The 23,101-nt window shown below is 40.0% G+C and overlaps 3 annotated features.

The window, feature by feature from the left end:
* Window positions 1,965–2,466: an enhancer, noted in NCBI's record as "H3K27ac hESC enhancer chr5:107753479-107753980 (GRCh37/hg19 assembly coordinates)". NCBI's record gives its function as "activates a minimal SCP1, AML or CMV promoter by ChIP-STARR-seq in naive H9 embryonic stem cells {active_cell/tissue: H9 hESC(naive)}" and the evidence as "EXISTENCE:reporter gene assay evidence [ECO:0000049][PMID:30033119]".
* Window positions 21,128–21,628: an enhancer, noted in NCBI's record as "H3K4me1 hESC enhancer chr5:107772642-107773142 (GRCh37/hg19 assembly coordinates)". NCBI's record gives its function as "activates a minimal SCP1, AML or CMV promoter by ChIP-STARR-seq in primed H9 embryonic stem cells {active_cell/tissue: H9 hESC(primed)}" and the evidence as "EXISTENCE:reporter gene assay evidence [ECO:0000049][PMID:30033119]".
* Window positions 21,629–22,129: an enhancer, noted in NCBI's record as "H3K4me1 hESC enhancer chr5:107773143-107773643 (GRCh37/hg19 assembly coordinates)". NCBI's record gives its function as "activates a minimal SCP1, AML or CMV promoter by ChIP-STARR-seq in primed H9 embryonic stem cells {active_cell/tissue: H9 hESC(primed)}" and the evidence as "EXISTENCE:reporter gene assay evidence [ECO:0000049][PMID:30033119]".

Below are 23,101 nucleotides of genomic sequence, written 5' to 3' on the forward strand. Positions count from 1 at the left end.
GTGTTTATTTTTTAAAAGTTGCACATACAGAAATATGTAATTATCTGTTCTTTGATGGGGACAGTAGTCATTGGGTAAATGAGTTCTGGTCATTTAAAATCATTTTGTTTACATAAGTCATCTTGTGGTAACAAAATGTTATGAGTAATGTTTCCCTCTTTGTAGAAAGTGGGAGAATTGTTATGAAGCTTTTTATTTACTTAAAACAAAGTAGGTCACTTTAATGTAGTGATTTAAATCATTTTAATTTAGAAATATTTCTATTTTTATTTAAAAGAGTTAAAATACTTAAAATTTCAATGTTATGGTCTTTATTTTTATTTTCACATGTTCCTCAATTTAGCACTTTTGAGTTTATTGAAACTTGCTACACATGTCTGTCTTTAAGTTATCCTCTCACTAATCATGGTTTTGAGAAAAACTCTGTGAAGAAAATGATATACAGTTGGCCCTCTATATCTGTGTGTCCCACACTAAGGGGTTCAACCAAATGAGGATTAAAAATATTCAGAAAAGGAATGATGGTTGCGTCTGTACTGTCAGGGTTTTTTTCATTATTCCCTAGATAATACAGTATAACAGCTCTTTCCATTTCATTTCATTTACATTGTATTGGATATTATAAGTAACCTACAGATGATTTAAAGTATGTGGGAGGATATGTATAGGTTACATGCAAATACTATGCCATTTTATATCAGGGACTTAAGCACCCCTAGATTTCATTGTCTGTGGGAGGTCCTGAAACCAGTCCCCCACACACAGATGCTTCGGGATGACTGCAATTGATTTTCATTGATTGATGAAGTACAAGAAAAGAAAGAAGTGATGTAATGACAGATGGTGTCTTGGAAAAGGTTCTCATTATTACAATTATTGAGAGAAAGCATTCAATAAAAGTTTGCATTTGTAAACCAAAAATAAAATTCTAAGCTCCTCAACAGACTAATGGTCCCTCCTCTCGGCCAAGGGCATTCCAAAGTTAACCTAAAAAACTAGTCCAGGCCATGATGGAAAGTAGAGGTTGAACATGACTCATTTTACCCTCCTCCTATTGGAATTCAGGCACAGCTGACCAGCATTAACATTAAAACAGAGACCTTAAGACTGGTAGAACAGAGTCTCTAATTCTATAAGAAGCATTCCCTTCTGTTGATTGTGTTTGCATGATGAGAACCTTGGTCTCCACAACCTTTTAACTCGGACATTCCCTTCTATTGATTCTAGGTCTTTAGACAGTAACTTGATCCTTTCAACCAACTGTAAATTAGAAAATTCTTGAATCCACCTATGACCTAGAAGCTCCTGCTTTGAGTTGTCCACCTTTCTGGACCAAACCAATGTACATCTTATATGTATTGATTGATGTCTTACGTCTCCCTAAATTGATGTCTTATGTCTCCCTAAATTGTTCAGCTGTAGCCTGAATACCTTGGGCACATGTTCTGAAGATTTCCTGCGGTTGGGTCACAGGCCATTGTGACTTAGAATAAATCTCTTCAAATATTTTACGGAGTTTGACTCTTTTCATTGATATATTTATCTTGACAAAGACTCTCTCCTTGAGCAAACTTTACTCAAATTCCTCTGAGTCCTCTTTTCAGCTAAGCCCTAATCTTGGCGCCACTATGTCTTTGGACTGCCTAGCCCATAGTTTTAGCAAGAATCCTGCTAAGTCAGTTTAGCAAGAATCCTCACCCACCCACTCTTGATATTTGATCATGCTTGAGATCTGACCAAGATACCCATCCTTCACGTTTGAGGTATAAGTCTTTGGCCTGTCTTTAGCAAGAATCCTATTTGATCAGTTTAGCAAGAATCTCCCTAACTTGATATATTCTCTTAGTAATTTTCATTCAATGACTCCCTCACTCTGCTCTTTGCTTATAAATTTCCAGATTCTTGCAGGTGGCTGGTTCCAGATGGAGTCCATGACCAGAATGAGAACTTCATGCCTGCTCTTTCCCAATTGGTTATTTCTGAATAATGCTTTTAAATCAATCAAATGTTGCCTTTTTCAAGGCTACCTACAGCCCACACCTCCCCAGTTCTGAGCCTATAAAAACCTCACACTCAGCCACATGGGGATACTACCTGCCTTTGGGTGGGGACAATCCACCTTCAGGTTGGGGACTACCCACTTCTGGTCCATCTCTGCTGAGAGCTATTCTGTCACTCAATAAAACTTCTCCACCTTTCTCACTCTCTGGTTGTCTGTGTAACCTCATTCTCCTTGGATGTGGGACAAGAACCCAGGACCATGGAACAGTGGGTACAAAAGGAACTGTAGCACGGATGAGCTGCGACCCTTCTGGGGCCCAGACCTCGGGACTCCCTGAGCCAGAGCTGTAACACACTAACACCCCCTTTGGGGTTCCATGGTTGCTGGTGTCTCCAAGTTTTTTGGTAACCACCGTGTTCTGCTTGTCCAGACACCAGCACTCAGGGAAGAAGCTACTTGTGGTACGCCTGGTCCAGCCATAGCCTCACACAGAGCCAGTGCCTGGGGCCACCCATCCTGCTGCAGCAGCCAGCATGCCTGGCTCACTCTCAGTGGGCATGAGATCCAGGCTGGTAGCACGAGCCAAGTACAGCCTGCCAGGGCCGAGTCGGCAGCGCAAGTCTAGTGGCAAGCCCAGAGCTGAGCAAAGCCCAGACAGGAGTGCTGCCAAGCCACGGAAATTTCCGACTGGGAAGCAGCACCAAAAAAGAATCCTGTGTCACTTATACCATATACAAAAATCAATTCAAGGTGAATTAAAGACTTAAATGTAAAACCCAAAACTAAAAATCCTGGAAGACAATCTAGGCAATACCATGCTGGACGTAGGAACGCGCAAAGATTTCATGACAAAGACACCAAAAGCAATTGCAACAAAAGCAAAAATTGACAAGTGTGATATAATTAAGCTTATTGGGTACTGGGCATAACTTCCTGGGCAATGAAATAATCTATACAACAAACCCCTGTGACATGAATTTACCAATTTAACAAACCTTCACACGTACCCCTGAACCTAAAAATTAAAAAAAAAAAAAAAAAAAAAAAAAAGACAAGTGCTTTGGAAAACCAGAGAAAATGGATCAGTGAATCCTGTGGAGGGAGGGGGAGATCTTTTGGGACGCCTTCACAGAATGGAGCAGCTGACTGTGTGTTTTAAGTATGATAATGATAATGACAACAATTAACCTCTGTTAATTAGATACACTTCTGATACTGTGTGGTGGTGGTCTGAGACTGAAATGAGAGATGATTTTGAGAAGGCAATTTATAATAAATCCAGGTTATGTAAAGTCTTGAATTACACCCAGGGAACCAGTAACAGATACGTAAGCCTTAGCAGATCTTGACTGGCAAAAATTACTAGACAAAAGCCACTATGCTGTCCTCACCCTATGTCCTACATTCTTCTATTCTTCTCAACCTAGTGTTTTCATGCTCTTTCAAGCCATATAAGCAGCCACCTCTTACCCATGTCCTTCCAGTGAGTTTAGGTAGTTGCCCTTCAACATTCCCATTATTCACAAATAACAATAAAAAATACACAATATTCCAAGTGTATTAACATATGGTTTTACAAAAGTGTAGGAAAAGAGTTTTCTTGCTTTGATACTGGAGTCAGAATTTCCTAGGGAGGGGATTCAGTAATCACTTAGAAAAATATCAGTAGTGTTTCTAAGCTAAAACACACTCTGGCCCTGTTTTTCAAAAGTTCCCATTTCAATTCCACCTTCAGTTACTTCTCCCACTACCCCCATCCCATTCTGTCTGCCTGTCTGCCTGTCTCTCTCTCTCTCTCTCTCTCTCTCTCTCACACACACACACACACACACACACACACACACACACACACACACAAAGTTCCTTTTTCTCTTTTGGGTGCTAACATGCATTTGATTGGTCCAGAGTCAGCTATTCAAAATGCCTCAGGTAGAGAAAAATTTATTAACAACTCAGTGACTGCAGTTTCTTATCTTAAATCCTTCCAGCTATACAAAGGAAAAGTCATTAAAGCCAATGATTCTCTGATAAGGCTTTCTTCACATCATTTATAAAGATGCTAAAAAGACTGATTCTACCATTAATTATTAAATCAACCCTTCAAACTTCTCATTTATCTACTCTATTTATTTCCTATCTCCAGGCCAACTTTCAGTTTTGGACAAAATCCCACCTCCTTCCCTGTCTTATTTCCATAACGAATTTTGAAAAAAACAAAAAAAAATTCAGCCCTTAGTCCTCTTCATCCACATTTTCTCCTTTGAAGAATTCCAATAAATCAAGCATAATTTTATTTTTGCAAAACACCACCAATGTTTTGTTTTCCCACTTGGCGATTTTATTATTTACAAATCCGGTAGTTGTAGTTGCATAAATGAGAAAAAGTTAAAGCAAATTTTCTGTCTGAGAGCTAATTTCCATATCTGTGAAAAGGCCAGCCCAGCAGCTCTTCCATGGTTAATGAGCTCCTGTAAGGGAGGACCACTAACACACAACCAGCAGGTGCACAATCACTGTTGCTTCTGCTCCAGACAGCTCACAGGCCGCTTTGTATCATGCTCACGTGATCCTTCTAAACTGGCTTCATCTTGTACAGAGCTATCACCTGTTATGCCACCAGTCTAGCCAATAGTAGTTCAATTTCAGCCACAATTGGATTGACGTGGGTTACTCTCCTTTTTTTCTGCCTTAAATCTTTTCATCAACAAAGCAGAGTAGTACATACGTGCATGCATTTATTTTGTCAATGTAACTTGCAGCATTTTAGATATGAATCACTATTTGATGCAGTAACTCACATATAGGATCATGTATTTATTCATTAATTCATTCATTCAACACATATTTTTGAGCATCTACTCTGAACCAAACACTTCTAAGATGTATTGAATAAAACTGTCAAAGTGCCTGTTTCTTGGGGCAGCCAGTGAGCAGTGAGGGGTGGGAGGGTTGGGTGAGGGAGCTAACATTTTAGAAAACAAGAGTATGTGTTTTGGGAACTGGGGCTATCTTAGATAAGGTAAGTAACAGAAGCCTCTTGATGAGGTAACATTTGGACAGATTGAGGAATGCAATGAGTGAGCAGATTATGCTGAAAGGTGATGGGGTCCGGGGAGAGGGCAGTAAGTGCAAAGGCCCTGAGGTACAACTCCCAGAATAGTAAGGAGGGAGTGTGGCTAGAGCAGAGTGACTAAGGGCAAAGTATAGTAGAAATCTGAGAGGTAGCTACAGGCAACATCAAGAGTGACTTTCTTCAGCTCTAGTAATGTCTTCAGAATTCATTCTGAATGATGTGGGAAACCACTAGAAGGAATACCATTTCAAACTGGGCCCTGCTTTTAAAAAGACCAATGCTAAAAATCAACTCAGTCCTTGTGTTACCAGAAAGGGGGCCCTTTCCAGGCCCGAAAAGAGGATTCTCAGATTTCACACAAGAAAGAATTCAGGGTGAGGCCGCAGAGCAAAGTGAAAGCAAATTTATTAGAGAAGTAAAGAAATAATGGCTACTGCATAGGCAGAGCAGCCTCGAAGGCTGCTGGTTGGCTGTTATTATCATTATTTCTTGATCATATGCTAAACAAGGGGTGGATTATTCAGGAGTTTTCTGGAAAAGGGGAAGGGAATTCCCAGGGAACTGGGGGTTCCTCTTCCTTTTAGACCATATAGGGTAACTTCTGGACTTAGCCATGGCATTTGTAAATTGTCATGGTGCCGGTGGGGGCGTCTTTCAGCATGCTAATGCATTATAATTAACATATAACGAGCAGCTGTCACTTTCATCACCATCTTGGTTTTGACACGTTTTGTCCAGCTTTTTTACTAAATCCTGTTCTTATCAGCGGTGTCTCTGTGTAACTGTGTCTTCCACAAGAATTTATATTATTATCTTTAAAGCAAAACCTATTCTTAAACTAAGAGTGCTTTTGTTCTTAAGATATCAGAACATAAAGACATTTCCTGGGTCTGTTAAGTCCTGGGTCTGTTTGGTAAACATTATTAATCTGTTCCCTTAACCATAAATATCCTGTGACTAAGAGTGCTTTACCTCCTCGGGAATGCAGCTGAGTACTTCTCAACCTCATTTTACCCAGCCCCGATTCAAGATGGAGTCACTCTGGTTCAAATGCCTCTGACACATGCATGCGTCGTTTTATTTCTGCCTTGAGGCATGCTCTTTTTTTTTCTTTTCCTTTTTTTTTTTAGGCGGAGTCTTGCTCTGTCACCCAGGCTGGAGTGCAGTGGCACAATCTTGGCTCACTGCAACCTCCACCTCCTGGGCTCAAGCAGTTCTCCCACCTCAGCCTCTCAAGTAGCTGGGACCACAGGCACATGCCACCATGCCCAGCTAATTTTCATACTTTTTTGTAGAGACAGGGTTTCACCATGTTGCCCAGGCTGGTCTCAAACTCCTAGCTCAAGAAATCCTCCTATGTTGGCCTCCCAGAGTGCTGGAATTACACCCATGAGCCACTGTGCCCACCCTGAGGCATGCTCTTAATCTTACAATAATTAGCTGACATAAAAGTTCAACAAACATTTTCTGTAAAGAGCCAGATGTAAATATGTTAGACATTTTGGTTCATACAATTTATGTCACAATTATTCAGCTCTGCCACTGTAGTATAAAAATAGCCATAGACATGTGTGAACAAAGGAGCATAGCTATGTTCCAATAAAACTTTATTTATAGACCCTGAAATGGAAATTTTATATAATTTTCATGTCATGAAATATTACTATTTTTTTCCCAACCATTTTTTTTATTTCTTTTATTTAAAAAATGGGATGGCCGGGCGCGGTGGCTCACGCCTGTAATCCCAGCACTTTGGGAGGCCGAGGCAGGCGGATCACGAGGTCAGGAGATCGAGACCATCCCGGCTAAAACAGTGAAACCCTGTCTCTACTAAAAATACAAAAAATTAGCCGGGCGTAGTGGCGGGCGCCTGTAGTCCCAGCTACTTGGGAGGCTGAGGCAGGAGAATGGCGTGAACCCGGGAGGCGGAGCTTGCAGTGAGCCGAGATCCCGCCACTGCACTCCAGCCTGGGCGACAGAGCGAGACTCCGTCTCAAAAAAAAAAAAAAAAAAAAATGGGATACATGTGCAGAACTTGCAAGTTTGTCACATAGGTATATGTGTGCCATGGTGGTTTGCTGCACCTATTGATCTGTCCTCTAAGTTCCCTCCCCTCACCCCCGACCCTCCAACAGACCCTGGTGTGTGTTCTTCCCCTCCCTATGTCCATGTGTTCTCAATGTTCATCTACCACTTATGAATGAGAACATGCAGTGTTTGGTTTTCTGTTCCTGTGTTAGTTTGCTGAGGATGATGGTTTCCAGCTTCATCCATGTCCCTGCAAAGGACATGAAGTCATTCCTTTTTATGGCTGCATGGTATTCCGTGATGTATATGTGCCACATTTTCTTTATCCAGTCTATCATTAGTGGGCATTTGGGTTGGTTCCAAGTCTTTACTATTGTAAATAGTGCTGCAATAAACATATGTGTGCATGTGTCTTTACAGTACAATGATTTATATTCCTTTGTATATTTATATATTACTGGGTATATACCCAGTAATGAGATTGCTGGGTCAAATGGTATTTCTGGTTCTAGATCTTTGAGGAATTGCCATACTGTCTTCCACAATGTTTGAACTAATTTACACTCCCAATAGCAGTGTAAAAGCATTGCTGTTTCTCCACAGCCTCGCAAGCATCTATTGTTTCTTGACTTTTTAATAATCGCCATTCTGACTGGTGTGAGATGGTATCTTATTGTGGTTTTGATTTGCATTTCTCTGATGATCAGTGATATGGAGCTTTTCTTCATGTTTGTTGGCCACGTAAATGTCTTCTTTTGAGATGTGTCTGTTCATATCCTTCGCCCACTTTTTGATGGGGTTGTTTTTTTCTTGTAAATCTGTTTAAGTTCCTTGTAAATTCTGGATATTACACATTTGTCAGATGGGTAGATTGCAAAAATTTTCTCCCATTCTGTAGGTTGTCTGTTCACTCTGATGATAGTTTCTTTTGCTGTGCAGAAGCTCTTTAGTTTGGTTAGATCCCATTTGTCAATGTTGGCTTTTGTTGCAATTGCTTTTGTCTTTTTTCTCATGAAGTTTTTGCCCATGCCTATGTCCTGAATGGTATTGCCTAGGTTTTCTTCTGAGGTTTTTATGGTTTTGGGTTTTACATTTAAGTATTTAATCCATCTTGAGTTAATTTTTGTATAATGGATAAGAAAGGGGTCCCATTTCAGTTTTCTGCATATGGCTAGCCAGTTTTCCCAACACCATTTACTGAACAGGAGATCATTTGCCCCATTGCTTGTTTTTGTCAGGTTTGTTGAGGATTAGATGGTTGTAGATGTGTGGTGTTATTTCTGAAGTCTCTGTTCTGCTTCATTGTTCTATGTGTGTGTTTTGGTACCAGTACCATGCTGTTTTGGTTACTGTAGCCTTGTAATATAGTTTGAAGTCAGGTAACATGATGCCTCCAGTTTGTTCTTTTTGCTTAGGATTATCTTGGCTATACGGGGTCTTCTTTGATTCCATATGAAATTTAAAATAGTGACGAATGTCAATGGTAGTTTGATGGGAATAGCATTGAATCTATAAATTACTTTGGGCAGTATGGCCATTTTCATGATATTGATTCTTCCTATCCATCAGGATGGAATGTTTTTCCATTTGTTTGTGTTCTCTTTTATTTCCTTGAGCAGTGGTTTGTAGTTCTCCTTGAAGAGGTCCTTCACATCCCTTGTTAGCTGTATTCCTAGGTATTTTATTCTCTTTGTATCAGTCATAAATGGGAGTTCATTCATTATTTGGCTCTCTGCTTGCCTATTGTTGGTGTAAAGGAATGCTTGTGATTTTTGCACATCGATTTTATATTCTGAGACTTTGCTGAAGTTGATTATCAGTTCAAGAAATTTTTCAGTTGAGATGAAGGGGCTTTCTAAATATAAAATCATGTCATCTGCAGAGACAACTTACTTTCTCTCTTCCAATTTGAATACCGTTTATTTCTTTCTCTTGCCTGATTGGGCTGGCCAGAACTTCCAATACTCTGTTGAAAAGGAGTGGTGAGAGAGGGCATCCTTGTCTGGTACCAGTTTTCAAAGGGAATGCTTCCAGCTTTTGCCCATTCAATATGATATTGGCTGTGGGTTTGTCATAAATAGCTTTTATTATTTTGAGATATGTTCCATTGATACCTAGTTTATTGAGAGTTTTTAACATGAAGGGATGTTGAATTTTATTAAAGGCCCTTTCTGCATCTATTGAGATAATCATGTGGTTTTTGTCATTGGTTCTATTTATGTAATGGTACATTTATTGATTTGCATATGTTGAAGCAGCCTCGCATCCCAGGGATGAAGACCACTTGATCATTGTGGATAAGCTTTTTGATGTGCTGCTGGATTTGGTTTGCCAGTATTTTATTGAGGATTTTTGCATCGATGTTCATTAGGGATATTGGCCGGAAATTTTTTTGTTGTTGTTATATCTCTACCAGGTTTTGGTATCAGGATGATGCTGGCTTCATAAAATGAGTTAAGGAGGAGGCCCTCCTTCTGAATTGTTTGGAATAGTTTCAGAAGGAATGATACCAGCCTCTCTTTGTATTTCTGGTAGAATTCGACTGTGAATCTGTCTGGTCCTGGGCTTTTTTTGGTTGGTAGGCTATTAATTACTGCCTAAATTTCAGAGCTTATTATTGGTTTATTCAGGGATTCAACTTCTTCCTGGTTTGGTCTTGATAGGGTGTATGTGTCCAGGAATTTATCCATTTCTTCTAGATTTTCTAGTTTATTTGTGTAGAGGTGTTTATTGTATTCTGTGATGGTAGTTTGTATTTCTGTGGGGCCAGTGGTGATATCCCCTTTATCATTTTTTATTGTGTCTATTTGATTCTTCTCTCTGTTTTTCTTTATTAGTCTAGCTAGTGGTCTATCTATTTTGTTAATTTTTTCAAAAAACCAGATCCTGGATTTGTTAATTTTTTGGAGGATTTTTTTGTGTCTCTATCTCCTTCAATTCTGCTCTGATCTTAGTTATTTCTTGTATTCTGCTAGCTTTTGGATTAGTTTGCTCTTGACTCTCTAACACTTTTAATTGTGATGTTAGTGTGTCAATTTGAGATCTGTCTAGCTTTCTGATGTGGGCATTTAGTGCTATAAACTGCCCCCTTAACACTGCTTTAGCTGTGTCCCAGAAATTCTGACATGTCATCTCTTTGTTCTCATTTGTTTCAAAGAACTTCTTGATTTCTGCCTTGATTTCATTATCTACCCAGGAGTCATTCAGGAGCAGGTTGTACAATTTCCATGAAATTGTGTGGTTTTTCCGTGAGTTTCTTAATCCTGAGTTCTAATTTGATTGTACTGTGGTCTGAAGGACTGTTTGTTATGATTTCAGTTCTTTTGCATTTGCTGAGGAGTGTTTTACTTCCAATTATGTGGCCAATTTTAGAATAAGTGCCATGTGGCACTGAGAAGAATGTATATTCTGTTGATTTGGGGTAGAGAGTTCTGTATACATCTACTAGGTCCACTTGATCTGGAGCTGAGTTAAAGTCTTGAATATCCTTGTTAATTTTCTGTTTTGTTGATCTGTCTAATATTGACAGTGGGGCGTTAAAGTCTCCCACTAGTATTGTGTGGGAGTCTAAATCTCTTTGTAGATCTCTGAGAACTTGTTTATGAGTCTGGCTGCTCCTGTATAGGGTGTATATATGCTTAGAATAGTTAGCACTTCTTGTTGAATTGTTCCCTTTACCATTACGTAATGCCCTTCTTTGTCTTTCTTGATCTTTGTTGATTTAAAGTCTCTTTTATCAGAGACTAGGTTTGCAACCCCTGCTTTTTTGTGTGTTCCATTTGCTTGGTAAATTTTCCTCCATCCCTTTATTTTGAGCCTGTGTGTGTTTTGCACATAAGATGGGTCTCCTGAATACAGCACACTGATGGGTCTTGACTCCTTATTCAATTTGCCAGTCTGTGTCTTTTAATTGGAGCATTTAGTCCATTTACATTTAAGGTTAGTATTGTTATGTGTGAATTTGATCCTGTCATCATGGGGCTATTTGGTTATTTTGCACACTAGTTGACACAGTTTGTTCATAGTGTCATTGGTCTTTATATTTTGGTGTGTTTTTGCAGTGGCTGTTACCAGTTTTTGCTTTCTATATTTAGTGCTTCTTTCAGGATCTCTCGCAAAGCAGGCCTGGTGGTAACGAAATCCCTCAGCATTTGCTTGTCTGTAAAGGGTTTTCTTTCTAGTTTGCTTATGAAGCTTAGTTTGGCTGGATATGAAATTCTGGGTTGAAATTCTTTTCTTTAAGAATGTTGAATATTGGCCCAGAATCTCTTCTGGCTTGTAGAGTTTCTGAGGAGAGATCTGCTGTTAGTCTAATGTGCTTTCGTTTGTTGGTGACCTAGCCTTTCTCTCTGGCTGTCTTTAACGGTTTTTCCTTCATTTCAACCTTGGAGAAGCTGATGATTGTGTGTCTTGGGGTTGATCTTCTCATGGAATATCTTAATAGTGTTCTCTGTATTTCCTGAATTTGCATGTTGGCTTGTCTTGCTAAGTTGGAGAACTTCTCCCGGATAATATCCTGAAGTGTGTTTTCCAGCTCATTTCCATTCTCTCCATCTTCTTCTGGTACTCCAATTAATCATAGGTTTGGTCTTTTTATGAAGTCCCATATTTTTTGGAGGCTTTGTTCATCCCTTTTCATTCTTTTTTCTTTATTCTTGTCTGTATGTCTTATTTCAGTAAAGTGGTCTTCAAATTCTGATATCCTTTCTTCCGCTTGGTCAACTCAGCTGTTGCTACTTGTGTATGCTTCGCGAAGTTTTCATGCTGTGTTTTTCAGCTCCATCAGGTCATTCATGTTCCTCTCTAAACTGGTTATTCTCGTTAGGAATTCCTCTAACCTTTTATCAAGTTTCTTAGCTTCTTTGCCTTGGGTTAGAACATGCTCCTTTAGCTCATTGTAGTTTTTTATTACCCATCTTCTGAAACCTATTTCTGTCAATTCGTTCATCAGATCCTCTGTCCAGCTCTGTGCCCTTGATAGAGAGACATTTCGATCATTTGGAGGAGAAGAGGCATGCTGGACTTTTGGGTTTTTCAGCATTTTTTCATTGATTTTTTTCTCATCTTCACGAGTTTGTCTAGTTTCAGTCTTTGAGGCTGTTGACCCTTGGATGGGGTTTTTGTGGGGGCCTTTTTGTTGTTGTTGTTGTTGATGATGCTGTTGTTGTCACTTTCTGCTTGTTTGTTTTTCTTTCAATAGTCTGGTCCCTCTTTTGTAGGGCTGCTGCAATTTGGTGGTAGTTCACTTCAGGCCCTATTCATCTGATTCACTCCTGTGCCTGGAGAGGTCATTCAAGGAAGCTGGAGAGCAGCAAAGATGGGTGCCTGCTCCTTCTTCTAGTACCTCTAACCTGGAGGGGCACCAACCAGATGCCAGTAGGATGGCTCCTGTATAAAGTGTCTGACAATCCCTGTTGGAGTGTCTCATTCAGTTGGGTGGCACGGGGAGCAGGACCCATTTAACAAAATACTTTTTCCCTTGGTTGAGAGGGTGTGTTTCACTGGGGGGAAGTGCACTCAACTGGGCTACCTGGATTCCTCAGAACTACCAGTAGGAGAGGCTAAGTCTGCTGGTCTGCAGAGAGTGTTGAGAGTGTTGCCACCCCCTCCCCTAGAGGCTCCAGCTCTCTGAGCCTCTGGCTGGAGTTATTGGAGATCTTGCAGGGAAACCCCACCCACTGAGGAAGGATGGGTCAGGATTAGGCCTGAAGAGACACTCTGGCTGCAGACTGTCATAGCTGGTCTGTTGGACTGTGGGGACAAGTCTTGGGACCAAGCTGTCCAGCCTCCCTGGTTTCAGCAGGGGAAAAGCACAGCCTGGAGCTATAGAAATGGGTGCCGCCCTTCCCCCATCCAGGGAGCTTAGCATGGTAGGCAATTGCAAGTCCCAGTGCTGGCTGCTGCCCCTTCCCCAAAGAGCTCAAACAGCTTAGACAGCAGACAGCCGGTGCTGGTCATCCCTCCTCCAAGGAGTTCGGTAGGCTTAAGCAGATTCCAGCTGAGAGGCTGTAAGAATCTGCAAGTTCCAGGGTTGAGACACTAGGCCCTGGTTGCATTGGGTCTTCTGATTCCGTGGGTTGCACAGTTCTGTGGAAAAAGCAGTTTGCTGGAGGAGGGGGTTCCCCTTCCCCATATGGCTCTCAGGTGGGCTGCCGTACCACACTGCTCTTCCTTCTCTCCATGGGTCACATCAGCCTTCTAGCCAATTTTGATGAGAGAACCTGGATATCTTGGTTGCCAGTGAAGGATTCACACACTTATTATGTTTTTTTCTGATGGGAGCCTCCGAACAAGACAGTTTCTAGTCAGCCACCATGGCCCCACCCTTTTTCCCAACCATTTTAAAATGTAAAACCCTTTCTGAGTTCATGGGTCATACAAAAAGAGGCCTTGGATCAGGTGTGATGGCTCTCGCCTGTAATCTTAGCTACAACTACTCAGGAGACTGAGGTGGGAGGATTGCTTGAAGCTAGGAGTTTGAGACCAGCCTTGGCAACATAGTGAGACCCTTTATAAAAAAAAAGAAGAAGCCTTGGGTTGGACTGAATTGGACCCACAGGTTGTAGTTTGCCATCCTCTGTCTAAATCATAATTTGTTACAATATTATACTGGGTTTTTATTTTTAGGCTACTGGAAGAAGAAATAATAACTTGTGGCAGAAGAAAAAAATTACTGCCATTTGAAATCTCTTAAGTAACATATTCACTTATATATTTAAAACAAAAATATGCAAGAAAATGTACTGACATCTTCTTAAGTGAATATAATTTTTGGCTGGGTATTGTGGCTCAAGCCTGTAATCCTAGCATTTTGGGAGGCCAAGGCAGGAAGATCACTTGAGCCAGGAGTTCGTGACCAGCCTGGCCAACATATCAAGGCCTTGTCTCTACAAAAAAATAAAATAAAATAATTAGCTGGGCACAGTGGTACACACCTGTAGTCCCAGCTACTTGGGAGACTGAGGCAGTAGGATGCTTGAGCCTAGGAGGTTGAGGCTGCATTGAGCCATGATCACGCCACTGCACTCCAGTCTTGGTGACAGAGCAAGATTCTGTCTCAAAAAAAAAGTATATAATTTTTAAGGTCAAAAATATGAGTGTATGTAAAACAGAAAAGAGAAAAATCACTTTTATAAGAAATCTGAAAAACACATCTAAATTTTTATAGCTCAGAAATAAAATAGAAAGTCTGTCTAGAAATAAAGCTATTAAATGTGGAATTTTCTAAAGAATCTAAAACTAGGGTAAAGCTTACTTGTGTGCAGTAGATGACAGCCATCACTGAGTAATTTCCACAGCAATGGACAACTTCTAGTACCTTCCAAAGTTCTTTGACTCACCAGCTTGATGATACTTGAAGTTTCTTTAAACAGAATGAATCCTTTTATTTCATATATATAAGTAAAGCTTAAAATAAATGTAAGGTTTTAAAAAATGACAATATGTACACTTAAATGAATAGTTTTAAGGGATATCAACCTCCTAAGCACCTTCTCCTAAAATTGATCTGCCTATAATGCCTGACTTCCCAGTAGTCCATAAGAAGGGCACACTGATGTCCCATCTCTCATCCCAAATCTCACTACAACAGTTGACTCTGGAGCCTAAATATCTCTGAGGAACCAAAAATAGAAATATAAAGTTTATTTTGTTCAAGAAAACCTTTTGCAATGATTAATTAACGCACATATGTCTTATGCATATGTCTGTTAAAGGTAAAGTTTGGTCTGAGAAATAAGGTGTTTTGACCTATGTTGAAATGCTCTGAGTTCAGAATAGGATAGGTAGTGTAGATGATGATACCTATTCCTTTAAATGCAAATAGAATGTGTCATGACACTATCAAGTATTTGAAATAAAACCCACAGATAAAAAGTTAACATCACTTCCTCAGATGGGATATACTTATTCAAAAATGTAGTTTAGAATCATTTCATCAAATCCTATCTTGAAAGATTGATTTCAATTTTACTCAATCATCCCATTTTATGTAAAAAATATGTAAGATTTTGTATCTTCTATTAACAATAAATACACTTTTAAAAATACATGATAAAATTTTAGTTGTCAAAAATGAGCAAGAATGTTCATAGATTTTCATATTTATTTTAATGAATAAGTAAACAAAAGTGTTTGAAAACATTGTGAATCATTGTCCTAGAAAGCTACGTCAGAGTCAGAATGGCTATGATTAAAAAGTCTAAAAACAAAAGATATTGGCAAGGCTGCAGAGAAAAGGGAATGCTTACACACTGTTGGTAGGAATTTAAATTCAGCCACTATGGAAAAGTAGTTTGGAGATTTCCCAAAGAACTTACAACTACGTTTTGACGCAGCAATCCCATTATTAAGTATATATCCAACAGAAAACAAATATTTCTACCAAAAAGACACACACTCACATGTTCATTGCAGCACAATTCACAATAGCAAAGACATGGAATCAACCTAGGTGCCCATCAATGGTGAACTGGATAAAGAAAATGTGGTACTACTCACCATGGAATGCATGCAGTCATAAAAAGAATGAAATCATATCCTTTGCAGCAACATGGATGCAGCTGGAGGCCATTATCCTAAGCAAGTTAATACAGAAACAGAAAACCAAATATCACATATTCTAACTTGAAAGTAGGTGCTAAACATCAGGTACTCATGGATATAAAGATGGAACAACAGACACAGGGGACTACAAGAGGGAGGGAGGAGACACAAGGGTTGAAAAACTAACTGTTGGGTACTATGCTCAGTACCTGGGTGAAGGAATCAGTCATACCCCGAACCTCAGCATCATGCAATATACCCAGGTAACAAACCTGCACACGTACCTCCTGAATCTAAAAATTGAAAAAGAAAGCTAAGTGTGGCACTTGGTTCCTGGAGAGGGAGCAAGAAACCGGGAGAGGCAGGAAGCATGGGGAAATTTGGGGGACAGCACAGAAAGTCACTGAAGAACCTAAACACAAGTACCTACTTTACAATTTTTCCAAAGAACAGCCCTAGTGCTATTTACTAAATCTACTTCTTTCCTCATTCCTTTAAGATTGGGCAAGAAAGGAGATGAAGAGGAAGTAGCTTAACACAAATTGTCCAAATTAACCAACATTTTTGAATGCAAAAGTAAAGCTTGAGGGAGCTGCATGTGTCCCTGGCTGGGTCTGAAAGGAAAACTGACAAAGCAACAAGAAAAAAGCATACAACTTTATTTAATACAAATTAAATGTGACATGGGAGCCTTTGTAAGGAAATGACCAAAAGGAACAGTTAAACCGGAGTTTTTAAAATTGTAGTTTCAATGAAGAATGGTGAGTCATGGAGAAATATGCTGGGTAAAGAGAGTGAATCTTATGTCGTACACTGGGGGAAACTTAGCAAGGCCTTTTTTTTTTTTTTTCAGATTACTTTTTATATCTCTTTGTCTTCAGAGACAAGGATGATCCTTTCCTCCAGGTCAAGGGAATACACCTCTCACATGAGGGTCTTTGGGAGGTCAGACCTCCCAAAGGAGGTTTTATGACCTGATTCAGGGGAGAAGGGCAAGGGGAAGGTGAGAGTGACCTTCCTGTTTCTGATGTTTTCTCAAATTCCTTCAGCCAAAAATATTCAGCCTGAACCCTATCATCATAAAATTTAATTCTCCCAACAACTCTGTGGGAATAGATATGATTCCCTCAGCAACAGATGAAGGAAATGAGGCGGAAAGAGACTAAGTGAATCTATTATAAATATGCAGTTAACAAGTGATTGTGATAGAAAACTCAAACTCTGTATTCTGACTCTAAAACCCATGTTCTTTCATCTCACTTCAATTTCACAACCACAAGGCAGAGCTAGGTTCAGTCAACACTTCTCATTACATGATGTTGTTCCTCATCAGAGAACACCATCTCAGGCTTGCAGAAAGAACAGGGTACTTGAAGTGGAAAAGAAGACTATAGCTCCATGCAGAACTTCCTCAATAATTAATTCCCCAGTGCCTTTAAGATGCTAAAGCAGATTTTTTACAAGAAGCCAGCATCTATTAAAGGTGAAGAAGAAGAAGTGTGCTCAGGAAAATTTTCATGTTTAAGAAACCCACCCTTCATTTTAAAACTAGGCTACTAGGAGAGGGAGAAAACTTCATTAAAAACTCTTTCTACCCCAGAGTGGGAAGAAAACCTCTATTAGATAGAAGAGAAAGAAGTAGATTCAAGGGCAGCTTAAAGAATTCCTCAGAGCCTCATCTGAAATTTTCAGCTTCTATTTTTACAGTCAGTCTGCCAAGAAAGAAAATAGGAAGTAAAAGAAAAATCAAATTACTTTGAAGCCTCTCATTTTAAAAAAAACCAACTAAGGTAATTAAGACTATAAAACTGGCAAATGAAAGAATAATTTCTTCTTAAAATTCTCCTAAATAATTTTCCAGAACCCCTAAACTCTTCACAAAGACTCTTTAAGATCTGCAAAGCTAAAATGAATAAAATGGTAGAACTTACTTCAAAGCATAGTGTCTTGGGTCTTTAAGAGTAGGAGGAAATAAAAATACTCCTGGGGAGATTAGAGAAGCTCCATGAAACATCTTAAAAACAAAGCCAGAAAAACTACAGGTAAATAAATAAAATAATGAAAGACAACACAAAGAGAATAATTTTAGTGGAAATAAAGAGTAAATTTATGTAAAAATTTCCTAAGATGTTTGAGGATATGGATTACATCAATCTGACGTAGAAGAGGAAAGGTTTTGCTTAGCAATTTTAGGTGCCCTGGCTAGGTCTAAAAATCAAACTGAACCTAATGTAGGTCACAGGTTGATGGGTGCAGCAAACCACTGTGTCACGTGTATACCTATGTAACAAACCTGCACATTCTGCTTAAAATATAATAAAATATATTAAACTTAAAACATTATATGTTATATATAATATATTAATAAATATATTAAACATATTAAACTTAAAATACAATTAAAAAAAACAAACTGATGAAGAGACATTAGTAGAAGGAAAGCATACAAATTCACTTAGTAAGTTTTACGTGACAAGAGAGCCTTTATGAAGAAATGAAGACCCAAAAAGACAGTTAAATCTCTTTCTCTCTCTTTTTTTTTTTTTTTAATCTCTCTCTTTCTCCCAGGCTGGAGTGCAATGGTGTGATCACAGTTCACTGCAGCCTCAAAATCCTTGGCTCCAGAGATTCTCCTGTCTCAGCCTCCCAAGTAGCTGGGGCTACAGGCATGTACCACCACTCCCAGCTGATTTAAAATTTTTTTTGAAGAGATGAGGTCTTGGTATGTTGCCTGGGCTGGCCTCCAACTCCTTGCCTCAAGTGATTCTCCCACGTTGAGCCCTGCAAAGCATTTGGATTACAGGCATGAGCCACCATGCCAGGCCTGAATGTTTCTTTATAGTAGATTTCATGAAGTTAAATATGATGAGACAAAACGGGTGTAATCTAATGGTAATAAACTGCGGAAAACTTAGCAAGGCCTCTTTGTTTAAATTCTTCTTGGCATCTTTGTGTCTCTGGAGATAAGGGGGCTCCAGGTTTGGATCATAATCTTGGAAGACACAATCCTGAACACCATAATTCTGAATGTTAAAATCCCAGAAGTTTAAAATCTCTGACATCCAAAATCCCCAAAATCACAATCACAGGATAGTTGCATCATGTTAGGCAGAGCTATTACCTTTTTATTGTCTTTGAAATTAAGTACGGTTTTAGGAGATGAATATGGGTGCCAAGTTGAGAAGAGGTGGACTTGTGGACTTAATTTTAGGCGTCAACTTGACTGAATTAAGGAATACCTGGAAACCTAGCAAAGAAATTTGCTATGCTATGTATATCATCTTAACATCATTTCCAATACTGGAGGTATCAAGTATGTAGAGACTTTTGGAGAGTTCTCATTCGTTTTATGCATTTTTTTTTTCACAAATTTGACTGCATGAAAGTGTATTATCACAACACTTTGTGTGAAAGCACCTTGTATATACATAAAAATGTTGAAACTTCCTTAATAAATGAAGAGATGTTGTTTTGTACACATGCATTTGTGAAAGATAAAATTTCTGGAGATGTTGGCTTTTGGGGCAACTGCATATGTGTTGGTCACCCATTGTAGTTTTTTTGTTTGTTCATTGTTGTTTTTTAGCAATGTGGTCTCACTCTGTTGCCCAGGCTGAAGAGCAGGAGTGCAGTGGCTAGATCACAGCTCACTAAAGCCTTGAACTGCTGGGCTCAAGGGATCCTTGCACTTCAGCCTCCCCAGTGGTTAGGACTACAGGAATGCGCTACCATGCCCAGCTAATTTTTAAATTTTTCATAGATACAGGGTCTCACTATGTTGCCTATGCTGATCTTGAACTCCTGGCCTCAAGGGATCCTGCTGCCTCAGACTCCCAGTGTTAGGACTACAGGTGTGAGCAACTGCACCTGGCCCCATCACAGTTTTTGATCAATCTTGTCAAAAGACTTAGGTTGTTGGTCATGGTATTTCAAATAACTGGAGTTACAAAGCAGTTTGCACACAACTAGCAACCATAGTAATATGTGTTTGTACAGTTCCCTTTTTGACCTATTTCTTTATGAATATGGTTCATCTACCCATAACTGTTATACCTGTGCAACTGTGGTTAATGTACCTCAATGTTTATGCTTACAAAAATATGTATATTATTATTGGCTATTTTAATGTGTCAAGTGGCCTATGAAGGGTTCTGTTACATTTTTATATATTTTTCAAATAAATTCCCTTTAAAAATGTAAATAAATATCTCTTAAAGAAATTTTTAAATGATTTTTTCCACACTTATATTTTCAGGATTATAATCACTTAGGATTTCAGCATTTGGGATTATGGCATTAAGGATTGTGTCATTCCAGATAATGATTGGCTCCTGGATGCTCCTTTCTTCCAGGTATAGGAGGACATCACTCACATGAGGGTCTTATGACCTGCTTCAGGAAAAGGTCAGAAAATCCTTCCTAGGTTTTATGACGTGCTTTAGGGGAGAGCGGTGGGAAAAGGTCAGAGAGACTTTCGTGATCCTTTAGTTTTCTCAAATTCTTTCAGTTTAAAATATACATCATACCAAGGCATCATATTTTGGGGTAGGATGTTCTGAGCCCCATCATTGACCTTTTAAACTAAGCTACTGAAAGGGCAACAGGCCTCAGAGCTGGTACAACACGAGAAAAAAGTTCAGAGAAGTTACAGTAAATAAGTAGAGAGAAAGAAAGGTCTTCATGCAAGATTTTCTAAACCATTTCCAAGTACCTTCAATAATTAAGATAAAATACTTCAGAGGGTAAAAAAGAAATGTTGGAGAAAGAAAAAGAAGTATTAAATAAATTACTCTATCAAAATTACAGGTTTTCTAAATGTACTGTGGTATTGAAATCTAAATGCCTCAAGAAAAGAGTTTTTTTCAATGTAAAGATTTTGTAAATGCATTAATTTAGTATTAAAAAATCAATTTTAGGGCTTTGTGACTAAGTAACTAGAGGAAAAGAAGAATCAATTTCTCTTATTTAGCTAACTCATCAGTGTAGGTAATTGATTTTCAACTATGATCTCATATGAAGGAATTTAAAATGCACACACACGCACACACACACACTCACTCCAGGCCAGAGATTTTGATGTAATTGATCTGGGGTAGGAATCTAGTAGTATATTTTAAAATATCCCCTGCTGACATTTACCCTCATGTGTGTAGCCAGGGTAGAAATTCACTGAGTACAGAATTGAGGACATGCATTAAGAAACTTTTAAACTGGGCACAGTGGCTCACATCTATTATCCTAGAACTTGGGAGGCTGAGGTGGGAATATTGTTTGAGGCCAGGAGTTAGAGACCAGCCTGTGCAACATAGTGACATCCTCTATTTACAAAAAAAACAACAAAAAAGTCCAACATGGTAGCGCATGCCTACAGTCCCAGCTACTCAGGAGGCGGAGTTGGGATAATTGCTTGAGCCCCAGAGCTTGAGGCTGCAGTGAGCTGTAATTGTGCCACTGCACTCCAGCCTGGATGACAAAGCAAGACCATGTGTCAATAAAAAAGAGAGATTGCTGGCAAGATGGCTGAATAGGAACAGCTCCAGTCTGCAGCTTCCAGCGAGATCGATTCAGAAAGCGAATGATTTCTGCATTTCCAACTAAGGTACCCAGTTCATCTCACTGGGACTGGTTGGACAGTGGGTGCAGCCCATGGAGAGCGAGCTGAAGCTGAGTGGGTAGTCACCTCACCCGGCTAGCACAAGGGGTTTGGGAATTTGCTCTCCTACCCAAGGGAAGCCGTGAGTGACTGAGCCTGAGGAACTCTGGCACAGATACTGTGCTTGTCCCAAGATCTTTGCAATCTGCAAACCAGGAGATTCCCTGCGGTGCCTACCCCACTAGGGCCCTGGGTTTCAAGAAAAAAACTGGGCGGCCATTTGGGCAGACACCAAACTACCTGCAGGAGTTATATTTTTTTCCATACCCCAGTGGTGCCTGGAATGCCAGCGAGACAAAACCATTCACTCCCCTGGAAAGGGGTGCTGAAGCCAGGGAGCCAAGAGGTCTGGCTTGGTGGGTCCCACCTCCACAGAGCCCAGGAAACTAAAATCCACTGGCTTGAAATTCTTGCTGCCAGCACAGCAGCAGTCTGAGGTCAACCTGAGATGCTCAAGCTTGGTGGGGGGGAGGGGCATCAGCCATTGCTGAGGCTTGAGTAGGTGGTTTTATGCTCACAGTGTAAACAGAGCTGCTCAGAAGTTTGAACTGGGTTGCACCCACTGCAGCTCAGCCAGGCTGCTGTAGCCAGACTGCTAGATTCCTCCTCTCTGGGCAGGGCATCTCTGAAAAAAAGGTAGCAGCCCCAGTCTGGGATTTATAGCAGACTTAAACATCCCTGCCTGATGGCTCGGAAGAGAGCAGCAGACCTCCCAGCACAGTGTTCAAGTTCTGCTAAGGGTCAGACTGCCTCCTCATCTGGGTCCCTGACCCCCGTGTATCCTGACTGGGAGACACCTCCCACTAGAGGCTGACAGACACTTTGTACAGGAGAGCTCTGGTTGGCATCTGGCAGGTGCTCGTCTGGGACAAAGCTTCCAGAGGAAAGAACAGGCAGTAATCTTTGCCCTTCTGCAGCCTCCGCTGGTGATACCCAGGCAAACAGGGTCGGGAGTGGACCTCCAGCAAACTCCAGCAGACCGGCAGCAGAGGGTCCTGGCTGTTAGAAGGAAAACTAACAAACAGAAAGGAATAGCACATACACTCAAAGACCCCATCCGAAGGTCACCAGCGTCAAAGACAAAAGGTAGATGAATCCACAAAGATGGGGAGAAACCAGTGCAAAAAGGCTGAAAACACCAAAAACCAGAACACCTCTTCTCCTCCAAAGGATCACAACTCCTCGCCAACAAGGGAACAAAACTGGATGGAGAATGAGTTTGACAAGTTGACAGAAGTAGGCTTCAGAAGGGGGGTAATAACAAACTCATCCGAGCTATAGGAGCATGTTCTAACCCAATGCAAGGAAGCTGAGAACCTTGAAAAAAAGGTTAGATGAATTGCTAACTAGAATAACCAGTGTAGAGAAGAACATACATGACCTGATGGAGCTAAAAAACACAGCACAGGAACTTTGTGAAGCATACACAAGTATAAATAGCCAAATTGATCAAGATGAAGAAAGGATATCAGTGATTGAAGATCAACTTAATGAAAGAAAGAGAGAAGATTAGAGAAAAAAGAATAAAAAGGAATGAACAAAGCCTCCAAGAAATATGGGACTATATGAAAAGACCAAATCTACGTTTGATTGGTGTACCTGAAAGTGAAGAGGAGAATGGAACCAAGTTGGAAAACAAGCTTCAGGATATTATCCAGGAGAACTTCCCCAAACTAGCCAGACAGGCCAACATTCAAATTCAGGAAATACAGAGAACACCATAAAGATACTCCTCAAGAAGAGCAATCCCAAGACACATAATCATCAGATTCACCAAGGTTGAAATGAAGGAAAAAATGTT

This window comes from Homo sapiens, chromosome 5 (assembly GCF_000001405.40).
Source record: "Homo sapiens chromosome 5, GRCh38.p14 Primary Assembly".
NCBI lineage: Eukaryota > Metazoa > Chordata > Mammalia > Primates > Hominidae > Homo > Homo sapiens.